Source organism: Homo sapiens, chromosome 12 (assembly GCF_000001405.40).
Source record: "Homo sapiens chromosome 12, GRCh38.p14 Primary Assembly".
Classification (NCBI taxonomy): Eukaryota; Metazoa; Chordata; class Mammalia; order Primates; family Hominidae; genus Homo; species Homo sapiens.
Window position 1 is genome coordinate 42003530 of NC_000012.12, and position 13401 is coordinate 42016930.

A 13401-nucleotide genomic window follows, 5' to 3' on the forward strand; every position below is an offset into this window, starting at 1 on the left:
TACATTTAATTCAACAAAAAATTACCACTCTATACCTGACATAAAACTGTCCTGTTGAGAGATCTCATGGCCCTGTATTCAAGGAATTTGCAGTCTTTTAGCGAGACATACACACGGATGAGACATTTAGAGAATAATAAGAGGTCCAAGGCCCAAATGAGCAGGAGAGGAAGTAAGTGCTACTCCAAAAGGGTCAAAGCCAAGATAGACTGGCATGGGTCACAAAAAGAATAGAGTTTGAAAAGCAGGGAAGTGTCAGGTAGGGAGGGGAGGTGGAATGAACAATAGTATGCATTTGATCCTGCAATCCCACTACTGAGTATCTACCCAAAGGAAAAATCAATATGTCAAAGGGATACCAGCACTTACATGTTTATCACAACACTATTCACAATATCTAGAATAGAGAATCAACTTAAGTGTCCATCAGTAGATGAATGGACAAAGAAAATATGGTATATATACACAATGGAATACGATTCGGCCATAAAAAAAAGAAATCATGTCATTTGTAGCAACAATGATGGAACTTGAGGTCATTATCTTAAGCAAAATAATCCAGGCACAAAAGACAAATATCACATATTTTACTTACATGTTGAAGGCAAAAGGTTGATCTCATGGAGGTAGAGAGTGGTAATACAGATAACAGAGACTGGGAAGGGCCAGCAGAGGGGCAGGGGAAAGGAGAGCACAGGAGAAGTGAAGTCGGTTAAAGGATATGAATATATAGTAACATAAAAGGAATCAATTCAATATTTGATGGCAGAGTAGGATGACTATACTTCACAAAATTATATTGCACTACAGTGAGGAACACCCTGAACACTCTGATGTGATCTCTATGCATTATATGCATGTAACACATTTTCTCATATACTCCATAAATTCTCACAAATAAAAAAAGAAAGAAAAGGGTGAGCTGAAAATAAAAAATAAAATATAGTTGAAGAGTATGTGTTTCGGAGCAGTCACTGCCACTTACTGGCTATGTGACCCTCAGCAATTGTCCTCACCCGGAATGTCAGGTGCACACTTGGTGGGGTGTGGTGAAGCTTCACCATGACAGTGCCACAGGAGCAATTCACTAGCATGCATTAAGCACTCCATAAATGTACTAGAATTATGGGACAACAGTGAGGAGAAACTCAGAAATCAAAGAAAGCCTGGGAAATAATGAAGGATAAGGGATGTCCTTGGTTGAAGATTTGAGACTAACCTAAATCCTCATGGTAAAAAGGATTTTTTTCTAAAAAGAATATTTTGCTTCCAAATTGACAATACATCAATATAATAATATTAAGCTGACATTTGCAGAGCACTCTGTGCCCAGGCACTGTTTTAAACACTTTGTGTGTATTAACTGTTATATACTCATTGCAGCACTAGTCACAATATCTAAGATATGGAATCAACCTAAGTGTCCATCAACAGATAAATCGTCAAAGGAGGTAGGTAGGTCTGATCATAATTATTCTCACTTTATAGATGAAGAAACTGAGCTGGAAAAAGTTGAAGTGACTGGCCAGAATTGCACAGTTAGTAATATTCAAGCACGGGCGATCCTGCCCCAGAGCCACCACTCCATCCACACATTCATACCCATATTCTCCTCACATCACATGCGACGTTCTGTACTGCCAAGCCCTTAGAACCCTCTTGATTTAGTAAGAAGGAAACTGAGGCACAGAGAGGGGTCTTGACTAAGTTACCCAAAATTGCATAGCAGGCAAGTGGCAAAGCCAGAACTTGGAATCCTGCTTGCAGCCCCATGCCCTTCTCTGCTCTTCCCTGACTCTCTTTTCAGAATATGTAAAACTGGGAACTTTCAGAAACTGTCTTATCTGGGGAGAATACATATTCTAAGAACTTCCCAAAGAATTCTGTTGCCTTTCACCAAACTCTGGGTACTTCCTACTTCTCCATGTGACTCGGTGAGCATTAGAACAAAAAAAAGAAAGAAAGAAAGAAAGAAGTTTTCAAAATATAAATTCTGCAATTACAGGAATTACAGGGAGAAAAAGAAATTTTAAATACAGTTTTTCTTATGTATGCATAATAAAAGCTAATGTTTACTAAGGCCTTGACATACACTGAGCACATTAAGTGCATATGTGCATATTTTCATTTAATTCTCACACCAACCCTCACAGATAGATGCCATTATTATGCCCATGGTAGAGATGGCATCGAGGTGAAATAACCTGTCCAGGTCTTAAAGGTTGCCAGTGGCAAAGCACGGAGACTCATGAGTGAAGCAGGTCTGTCAGACCTCAGTGCACACACTCCTCACTCCACACTTTACTACCTCAAACTCAGTCTCCTGTGTACTTCCTTCCACTCATGTATTCCACCTCCACTCTTTTCTTTTTCTTTTTTTTTTTTTTTGAGACAGAGTCTTACTGTGTCACCCAGGATAGAGTGCAGTGGCACAATCTCAGCTCTCTGCAACCTCTGCCTCCTGGTTCAAGCAATTCTCATGCCTCAATACTCATCCTGAGTAGCCGGGACCACAGATACGCCGCCACCACACCCAGCTAATTTTTTGTATTTTTAGTAGAGACGGGGTTTCACCATGTTGGCCAGGCTGGTTTTGAACTCCTGGATGGGCTCAGTGGCTCACGCCTGTAATCCCAGCACTTTGGGAGGCTGAGGCGGGTGGATCACTTGAGGCTAGGAGGGGATTACAGGTGTGAGCCATTGCGTCCAGCCCCACCTCCACTCTTGAATGCCTTCCCCCTCCCTGTCTAAATCCTAATCATGTTCAAAGCACCAGTTCCCATCTTCCCTGCCACACCTGCAATTCTGTACACCAGAACACAGGCATCAGAATCACCTAGAGTGGCTGGTAAAAATGAAGGCTCTTATGCCCCACCCCTAATTCAGTGGATTATAAGGTAGGAGAGTGGGGCTCAAGTCTGCATTTTAACAAGGTCACTGGGGGATGTTGAAGTCCATCAGTGTTTGAGCAACTGGCCCACATTACAGTGCATGAAATTTGTATACTAATTACATACTGACCCAGGAGGCATTTGGAGTCTGGCAAGAATTGTACTAGCTCCAAGTAGGTTCAGTCACAAAGACAGCTGTTTGGCATTTTCCATAAACGCAAGATTACAGATGCCCATTGTGCTCATAGGTTACCCAACCAAAGCTGGGTTATCCATCATATGGCTTCACTAGGGAACTAGTTGAGCCTTGGTACTACTAACTAAAGAAACATTAGGTACAGAACACAAAGAAAGAGAGAACATTGTGGCTTGTAAAACACTGAATTATCCTGGGGTTCATATTTACTACATATTTAGGAGTCAAAAAGTATCCATGCTCTTCTGGTGTTTCCACTTCAAACATAACGATGTGCAGTATAAGAAAGAAAAATGGATACCAGACATTAAATTAAGAAGCCACTTCTAAAAGCCAGGTGGCTAATTCAAATTAGAACACATTTTGTGTCTTTTCTGAATAACAAGGAGGAGCAGAAAAGACACATTTTCAATGACATTTATAAAGCATTGATTTCCTTTTCTCTCTAACCCAGGGATGCTTCATTCACTGCAGAGATAACACCCTGAATATGAACGTGATTAACAGTGATGATTTGGTAAGAGGTATGTTTAGAGCAAAGCAGCTTCTTCAGCGTTAACCAGCATTTATTGAGCACCTACTATCTATAGGGCATACAATGAAATGGAGGTTTGAAAAATATTTAGGTTCTAGCCATGGAGACCTAAGGGTAACAGTACCTAGGAAGGATGAAAGAATGATTACACTGAGTCCTAGAGCAGACCTGGAGTGCTTAAGGAACTTGTACATTTAGTCTACCCAAAAGAATCATAAAAACACTAGAACATAAGTTTTCCTTAACTGCCACATCAACTAGCAGGGTTTGGTGGGCAGGAACTACATTCCCCTGGCTGTCCTCCTAGCTCTCCAGAGCAACATATTTGAACAAACAGTTCCTGGCCCAGTCTATGGCTCTGGCTAATTTGAGAAAGAAAAAAAATTCCTTGCACCCCCTGTTATACTTTTAAAATCATTATCTATTTAAAAATATATATTGTTGAAAGGTATTATAAATTCAATGTGATCTTAAAATAAGTTGTATTAAACATAGCAGTATCTACATTCTACATATATCTAAAAATAGTTAAATTGTGTGAGGCTGGGTGCAGTGGTTGACACCTGTAATCCTAATATTTTGGGAGGCTGAGGTGGGAGGATCCCTTGAGGCCTGGAGTTCAAGACCAGCCTGGGCAACTTGTCTCTCCAAAAAAATTTTTAAGGCTGGACACAGTGTCACACGCTGGTAGCCCCAGCTACTTGGGAGGCTGAGGCAAAAGGATTCCTTGAGCCTAGGAACTTGAGGCTGCAGTGAGCCAAGACTGTGCTATTGGACTCCAGTCTGGGTGACAGAGAGTGACCCTGTCTCTAAAAAGTGTGGTTTATTCGGTCCACAGGCAATGCTTCGTGCACTTAGGAATCTGAAGAACACTTTAATACTTTCGGCCGGGCGCGGTGGCTCACGCCTGTAATCCCAGCACTTTGGGAGGCCAAGGCGGGAGCATCACAATGTCAGGAGATCAAGACCATCCTGGCCAACACAGTGAAACCCTGTCTCTACTAAAAATACAAAAAATTAGCTGGGCGTGGTGGCAGGCGCCTGTAGTCCCAGCTACTCGGGAGGCTGAGGCAGGAGAATGGCGTGAACCCGGAAGGCGGAGCTTGCAGTGAGCCGAGATGGCGCCACGGTAGTCCAGCCTGAGCGACAGAGCGAGACTCTGTCTCAAAAAAAACTTTCAAGGGCCCAGAGTAGAGACCTGCGTCTCACAAGCTGACATCTCTTGTTCCAGCCTTTAATCTCCAAGGTTTTCCTCCCAGACTCTACTTAACTAGGTCTGTGGAAAGAAGTCCCCAGTGCCCTGGTGAAAGCAGAGAGGTTAGACCAGTCAGGAAAAGGGAAACTAATGTTGGATTTCTTCAGATGGTTGACAGCAGCATTTTTGAAAGCTGTCGGTGTCTTCACCGGGTTGAGGATTGGAGACTGAGCCTGGACTGTCTCGGAGCAACCACTTGATTCTCTTTGAAGATGTGATTTCACCTCAGAAGACACCTTGACTGCCATAACATGGAGAGTTGTAAAAGGGTGAAGCAAAAAAAAAAAAAAAAGCCTTATCGGGCAGGTCATAAATGTCCAATTCTCTCTAAGGGAGGCAAGTATTGTCCTTAGGAATATTTACTTTATGAAACTGTAGGCAGCAGAGAAGTGGTTTGAATCAGATCATTCTTAAGGTTTATTCCTCAAAAGTCAAACATGATTTCAGTTTGGGGTCATCCACCAAGCATGAAGGTTGTGGATAACAGTATTATTAATATTCCATAAATTCTTTATACAGTACTCAGTGGAAAATCATCATTTGTAATATTTATCTGGTGCTTGAATGAGAACATGTGATAATATGACAATTCAATTTTCTACTTTGACATTTCAAATATGACCAAGTCATGATAATCAATCAGTAATACGTTTATCATCCACATGAAGCCAATTATGCACCAATAATCAGTGAAATTTTGAACTTGTAACCTAGACCTGTGTGCAGTAACCGACAGTGAAGGTGGAGACATTTGCTGTAATTGTGCTGTTATTGCTTCTAACAAAATGTTTTATACCCGAAAGGGCAGGCAGCGCTTTTAAACCCTCCATTCCAGTCTGGCTCTTTATTACAAATTGCCTTTTGAATCATAAGCTCTTTAGAAGGGCAATGTGAGGTGCAGTCATAGAAGATGGCATGAGTCCATGACTCTGGAGTCGACTAGACTCTGGTTCAAATCCTGGCTCTGCAGTTATTAAGCAAGTAACCTTGAGCAAGAGATTTAAGCTCTCTAAGCCTCAGTTTCTCCACCTATAAGGGGGGGATGGTCATAACTACCTTGCGGGGCTACGGAAAGGTTCACCGTCATGTAGGGCACATGGTGCACAATAAACAGTAACTATCATAACCAAAAGAATGTAACCAAAGCTTAAAAACTAAGATCATGTTTTTAAAAGAATAATTTTTAAACTTCTTATCTAGGCTGGGCACAGTGACTCACACCTGTAATCCCAGCACTTTGGGAGGCCAAGGCAGGCAGATCACCTGAGGTCAGGCGCTTGAGACCAGCCTAGCCAACATGGTGAAACCCCATCTCTACTAAAAATACAAAAACTAGCCGGGCATGGTGATGGGCACCTATAATCCCAGCTACTCGGGAGGCTGAGGCAGGAGAATCACTTGAACCCAGGAGGCGGAGGTTGCAGTGAGCCGAGATCATGCCATTGCACACTAGCCTGGGCAAAAAGAGCCAAACTCCATCTCAAACAAAAAAAAAACTTCCTATATAGATGAATTAATGTTAAGAGAAATATTTAAAACGTAGCACCCATTATAATCAAGTATCTTTTAAAATATTCTGATTACTAGACAACAATTATATGCACTATTTTAATAATATCGTAAAATGGTTGCACTTTGTTCTTTGTTTATTGCATTCTGAAATCCCATGTTAGAATTATAGGCATATAAACCAAGGCTATTAAGAATGCCTGGTAAAAGCACTTACTGATGCATCATTTAGCCTGTATTTTGTCTTTGGAAGAGAGAAATCCAAATGGCTGCTTCTTTCAAATGTCACCCAGATACATACTGTTCATTTGAGATCATCTAAATTATGGGTGTGTGTGTGTGCATTTTAACTCAACTTTCCATGGCACCCCACAGAAAGTTTCCATCCTCTGTGAGACAATTGAGAACACCATCTGGGACAATTGAGAATACCGTCTGGGACTCAGATGAATTATGATGTTGCCAATATACATGATATGCATCACTATAGGAGGCTTCCCATGAGCCTCTTCTCTGGTCCCAAACAGTGGGCCTCAGACCTCATGGGACTGCAGTTATTGCCAGAGATCCTTGAATCACTATGAGCACAGTCATTCACTGTGTGCAGACTACATACAGCATATTATCACACACAGATGTGTGTTTCAGATATCTATTACTGTGTAGCAACCCCCCCACCCATGAGAAGCCAAAAAAAAAAATGTATTCTTCTCTTCTAATTCTGTGGGTGGATTGGTGGTTCCACTGCTCCACATGGTACTGGCTGAAGTGCTAGGATGTCAACAGTCATCTGGGGGCTTGGCTGGGCTGGAACATTCAAGATGTCATGCTCGTACAATTGCCTATTTTTGGTTCTTGGTGGGAAGCTCAGCTGAGGCTGTCAACCACAACACCTATATGTGAAATTTCTATGTACATGGGGCTTCTCAGAGTGGCTAGGTTGCAAAAGATAGCACCCAAAACGGACGTATTTTTAAAAGGCAGAGAGAGGCAGCAAGGCTTCTTATGCCCTAGCCTTGGAAACCACACAGTGTCATTCTGTTGCTCAAAGCACTCACAGGACCAGCCTGTGATTCAAGCAGAGGGCAATTAGACCTCACTTCTCAATGAGAGTTCTGCTGTTTTCCATGTGTCTTTCAATGTGTAATTGACAAAATACAAATTTATTGAAGGGCATATTGGATTTTTAGTAAATGTCAATCATTAAATATTTTTTCAACCAACTCATAAAAGTGTAAAAGCAATTTAACAAGATGATTAAGCATTCACGCTGTGCAGTTAGATGGGTCTGAATTTAAATCCCTATACCTATTGGCTGTGTAAACAGGAGAACATCACTAAGCCTCAATTTCTCCACATCCAAATCAGCAATAGAAACAGACTTCCCAGTGCAGTTCTAAAGATTGCATTAAAAAAATGCGTGGTAGATGCTTAGCACTCAAGATAATTAGCTCTTGTAGTTGATGTGATGCCAGGAGGCTGCTCCTGCTGACCATTCTTCCTCCTCTACCTGCCTCCCTGACCCCATCCTTCCGCTCACTTCAACTGATGTTTACATAAACCAATGGGATGGCTACAATGCCCGACATGTGCTGTGGCTGGAAAGCGTCTATAGCTAGAAACTCACTGGAAAGATCTATTTTAGCACTTGCTTATGCATAATATTTAATAATGACAAACATAATTTAAGGGGCAAAATATTGATAGAAGAAAAGGGAAAAATTTAAAAAGTAGCCCTACTATAATCAAGTTTTTTTTGTTCGTTTGTTTGTTTGTTCATTTGTTTGAGATGGAGTCTCGCTCTGTCACCCAGGCTGAAGTGCGCTGGCACCATCTCGGCTCACTGCAACCTCCGCCTCCCAGGTTCAAGCAACTCTCCTGCCTCAGCCTCCCAAGTAGCTGGGACTACAGCTAATTTTTGGGGCTAATTTTTTGTATTTTAGTAGAGATGGGGTTTCACCGTGTTGCCCAGGCTGTTGGCGAACTCCTGAGCTCAGGCAATCCACCCACCTCGGACTCCCAAAGTGCTGGGATTATAGGCATGAGCCACCGCGCCCGGTCATAATCAAGTATTTTTTAAAAACTTTTCTTAAACCTCATTGCCTGACAAAGAAGTCAGGAGCTAATCCCTACTTAGTTTAGTAATCACAAGTGATGACTTAGTTCTGGCCTACTTGCCATGTTTCTTGGGACAAAACTGACTGAGCAGCAGAATCCAAGGACTATGGTGCATAAAGAGTTAAAAGTAGTATCTGAGTGCACAGCGGTTAGATCAGGTCTCAAGCCAAGGAAAGCAGGGCAACACAGAGCAAATAACCAGGAACCAAAAGAATCAGCCTGTGTGCTTAGGGTAACAAGCAAGAGCAGATTAATTAAATGGGGTAGTGGGGACAGGTAGGAAATCCAACTGGATGGAAGCCAAAGTTCAAATCTCAGAAGCATCAGAAGGTCACAGAAAGAATTCTGCAGCTTCCCTGGGGCTGTTCCCCTTACTGTCTGTTCCAAGCAACTCTTTCTCACCTGGACAGGAAAATGGCCCTGTGTAGCTTCTGATCCAAGTTCAGTCCAATCTAGCCCAAGTTTAGCCCAGTGAAGTTCGTGGTAACCTGAGAGCTTAATGCAGATTTTAAAGTGAGAATTTTGCTCAATTCAAATATTTTCTCAGAAGGAAGTTCTTTGGCCCTGGGCTATTCCAGTGACTATTTCATCAAGAGTGAACTGGCTCTGCCTACAAAATGTATGAGGTTTCTCCTCCATATATGGAAGCCAACAAGGGTTATCCACATGAGAGAAGCTGTGGAATCTTGCTCTGTCACCCAGGCTGGAATGCAATGCAGTGGCATGATCTTAGCTCACTGCAACCACCACCTCCTGGGTTCAAGCAATTCTCCTGTCTCAGCCTCCTGAGTAGCTAGGACTACAGGCACATGCCATCATGCCTGGCTAATTTTTGTATTTTTAGTAGAGACGAGGTTTCACCATATTGGTCAGGCTGGTCTCAAACTCCTGACATCAGGTGATCTGCCCACCTTGGCCTCCCAAAGTGCTGGGATTACAGGTGCAAGCCACCATGCCCAGCCTGAAATCTACTTTATAAAGTGTTTTGGAACCCCTGAGGGTGAAAATATTTATAAAAGTTAAATGAACAGGCCTCCCTCTGGGAGACACACCTCTGGCATGTCATGGTAAAGGTAAAATAGAGGTAAAATAAGGTTCTAACAAAGCTCTCCTGGTGTCCCCAACATAAAGCCTTTTTTAAATGCTGCTGGAAGGATCTGCCTACTTCTGCATTCCACACTGCAGTAGGTGCTGTTATATATTAAGACCCCAATGAACAAAGCATTTTCAGTAATGGTATTTCTCCCAGTCCTTTGTCTATACATACAAATTTGCTGAGCCGCCTGTATTTATCATCCCCATGTTTGGTGCTATATATTAATAATGTTGAACAACAGATTTATAGACAAGGCATTAGACACTGAAATTAGACTCACACTAAGACTTTCATATCTTACTGCACTATTTGTTATACTTTTGAGAGCAACTTTTATATGCCCACTCTTTCTTAATTTATAAGCTAGAAGAGAGAGCCATCATTTTATATTCCTGGTGGTACATTTTATATTCTGTCAGTACCACCAAACAAGAAACAGCTTGCTAGGACTCCAGGTCCCTTGGAGAATTCCTCCAAAGCATTGATAGTCAGGGAAGCCCTCTAGTCACTACTCTGACATGTATTGCTTATATATTGAATTTTTGCTTAAGCTCAAGAGATTGTAGTTGGATGATTGAATGGCTCAATGGAATCTCATTGCTTTTTGCCCCCTCTCTCTGAGGGAGATGCTTTTCCAAAAAGCCTCATTGGCTAGACTACATTTCCACTGAAAAGAAGGGTTTCCCTTCTCTAATCCATGATACAAGCCTGCTAGTAATCCTTTGACAATATTCAAATGGCTATCCCACACCTTCAGGTAGCCATTTACTGCTTAAAGCCATTGTATCACAGAAAACTTGGTTTATATCTGTTGGTTTCTATTTAAATTCCACTGACTCCACCCTGCCTACTACTTACATTTAAATATGCATTTAATTGGATGGGAGTTTAGTCAAGCAAAGGTGGCAGATCTGTACCCGTCAGGCCATGTGGAATTGACTGTCACTCATTAAAGTTATCCTTAAGATAAAGATTTAAATCTATTTCATTTCCTTACTCAGTATCACTAAAGTAAATAGGACTAAGACACGGGTATTAAAGGAGATTTCCCAGCCAAGAACATTGACAGCTGAAATATAATCAGTTTATAAGATTTATAATGCTATTGACTTTTCTTTTGCACCATAAATTTCACTGCTGACTCTGCCTGGGTTTTATTATAATATCATATCATATTAGGGAGATCAGCTTTGCTGTTGATGAATGAAAATCACTGATATGAAAAAAAATTCCCATTATCAGCTCATCACCTAATCATATTAGCATCTTTGTATCCTATTATCAACTTTTTTATATGAAATAACATTTCCTAATGACAGGGATTTCACTAATGCTATATGAGTGTTGCTAATATCATTTGAGGGTTCTCATCATGCATGTCCTACTTGAAGGCAGAGTATATTTGTTTTCTACACAGACTTTGAAAAATGCAAATAGTGTTTAGCAATTCAGGCAAAAAAATTATGTTTTGTGAAAAACTATCCTCTTGATTAGCATTGAAGGCCCTTCACAATTTTGTCCCAACCTTTGATTGATAGTGTGACTCACAAATTTGAAGAAAGTTATAACAGATAGAAAAAAAAAAAACACTGCAAACCTGCTGAATGCAAAGTAGAATATATTTAACTTATTTAGTTGTCACTCATAATAGTTTCAAAGTCAAAGCACAGTAAAGTTCAGCCAAATTAATTCTTATGTGACACCTTGAATGTTTTATACCAAGTGTTTGTCAATGTCATCAAGTAAGAGGGTTTTTTACCTACTTTTTAGCGAATGCCCAACTTTCTCAAAATGAATTGAAACTTGGTTTAAAAACAGCACCTTTGTGAAATTCATTTTTTAGAATGTGATCGAGTCATTGGAGTTGGTGGCTATATCTGCAAGATGCTGAACCAGCCAATCACCACAGCAATTCAGTTTGACAACCAGTCAATGCAGTGAGAAAATCAATTTCATCAGCTCATTGAACTGAACTGATGCCTGTGGACACATGCAAATCAAAGGCCCTGTGTGGCTTCCTCTCACTGCTAAGGCAGCTGCTTCTCTCTTACCATGGTGGGAAAAGGTTCCAACCCAGCTAGAATTCCCACAAAAGGGAAGCTTGGCTCTTTTGTGTATTTTTAAGCTCCCCTGGCATCTGACACCAAGCTAAGAGACATTTGCTAGGCAGCACCAGATATCTCTCCCAACCCACTCCAGCCCAGGGCTCAGGAGCACAATCCAGACTCCTTGGTGCTGTTCCCTGCCTACCCTGCTCATTTCCTGTAGAATTCAGGATTCACTTTTGGCTCTGCTGTGAGAGTATAATCTCTCTGTTTCACAAAATGACAGACAGAACAACTGCTCTCCAAAATTTCTTCCAAGGAGCTTTTTTTTTTTTTTTGAGACAGAGTGCCACTCTGTCACCCCAGCTGGAGTACAGTGGCACAATCACAGCTCACTGCAGCCTTGAATGCCTGGGCTCAAGCAATCCTCTCTCATCTCAGTCCCCCCTGTAGCTGGGATTACAGGCATGCACCACCATGCCCAGCTAATTTTTTTAAAATTTTTTGTAGAGATGGGGTCTCACAATGTTGCCCAGGCTAAAAAGGAGCCTATTTAAAAGGTTCTAATTACAGAGTCTCATACCTTGAAGGTCAGCCAGGAGATTCCAGGATTCCTAGAGTGGTTAGATAATATAACTTGCCTGCTCTGTGGACCCTCCTTATATGTCTCTCACTGACATGTGAGTCCTTGAAATGAAGAGACCATGTCATTATAACCCATAAAATGACTGGCAGAGAATTCAAAGAGCTGAGGAATCAAAAAAGAAAAAAAACTGGCAGATCACAGAGTTTATTAAATATTGAATGGCTAGATTAATTAATTAATTAATTAAAAGTAATGGATCTCAAACTTTAGTTGGCATTTTTTTTCTTTTCTTTTCTTTTTTGAGATGGAGTCTTGCTCTGTCACCCAGGCTGGAGTGCAGTGGCGTGATCTTGGCTCACTGCAACCTCCGCCTCCTGGGTTCAAGTGATTTCTCAGCCTCCTGAGTAGCTGGGATTACAGGCACATGCCACCCCTTACAGACAGGGTTTCGCCATGTTGGCCAGACTAGTCTTGAACTTCTGACCCTCAGGTGATCTGCCTGCCTCGGCCTCCCAAAGTGCTGGGATTACAGGCGTGAGCCACCTTGCCCTGACTAGTTGGCATTTTTTTTTAATCATCTGAAATCTTTTTAAATACAGATTCCTGGACTCCACCACCCCCAAAATCTTGTCTGAGAATAAGAATTTTTGGATTGAGTGCAGGTATCTGAATTTTAACAAATAGCCTAACTGACATACTTTGATAAGTATCAGTTGTCTTCCACCAATCTGACCCATCTCTTACTTCAAACAAACAAACAAAAAAAGACTATACACATGTTTGGTACAAGCCAAATTTTGCACCGAAATTTCTGCTGCAAGTATCTATTTTTGCTGTTGTTTCGATGCATTACTTATTTAAGCCTAGAATAGTCAAGCATTTAAAGCATATGTCCAGCCCTGAGTTCCATTGGAAATTAGTTGGGAAGGCATCCCCAGTGAATGTGTGCAAATATTTTCACACAGAATATCAGAAAGTCTTCATAAATGTCTCCCTTTAGTTGATTTTTTTTTTTTTGAGACAGAATCTCACTGTGTCGCCCAGGCTGGAGTACAGTGGCACAATCTCAGCTCACTGCAACCTTCATCTCTCCTCACTGCAACCTCCATCTCTAGGGTTCAAAGGATTCTTGTGCCTCAGCCTCCTGAGTAGCTGGAACTACAGGTGCGC

General features: G+C 41.4%; 1 long non-coding RNA gene across 1 annotated transcript in view, besides 1 other annotated feature; it reads right to left on the reverse strand.

Annotated features, from left to right (window-relative positions):
* Positions 1–13401, reverse strand: part of LOC105378247 (uncharacterized) — a 39168-nt gene that overhangs the window by 16095 nt on the left and 9672 nt on the right. The window lies entirely within an intron of this gene.
* Positions 13342–13391: an enhancer, noted in NCBI's record as "active region_6208". NCBI's record gives its function as "activates an Ori minimal core promoter by ATAC-STARR-seq in GM12878 lymphoblastoid cells {active_cell/tissue: GM12878}" and the evidence as "EXISTENCE:reporter gene assay evidence [ECO:0000049][PMID:35858748]".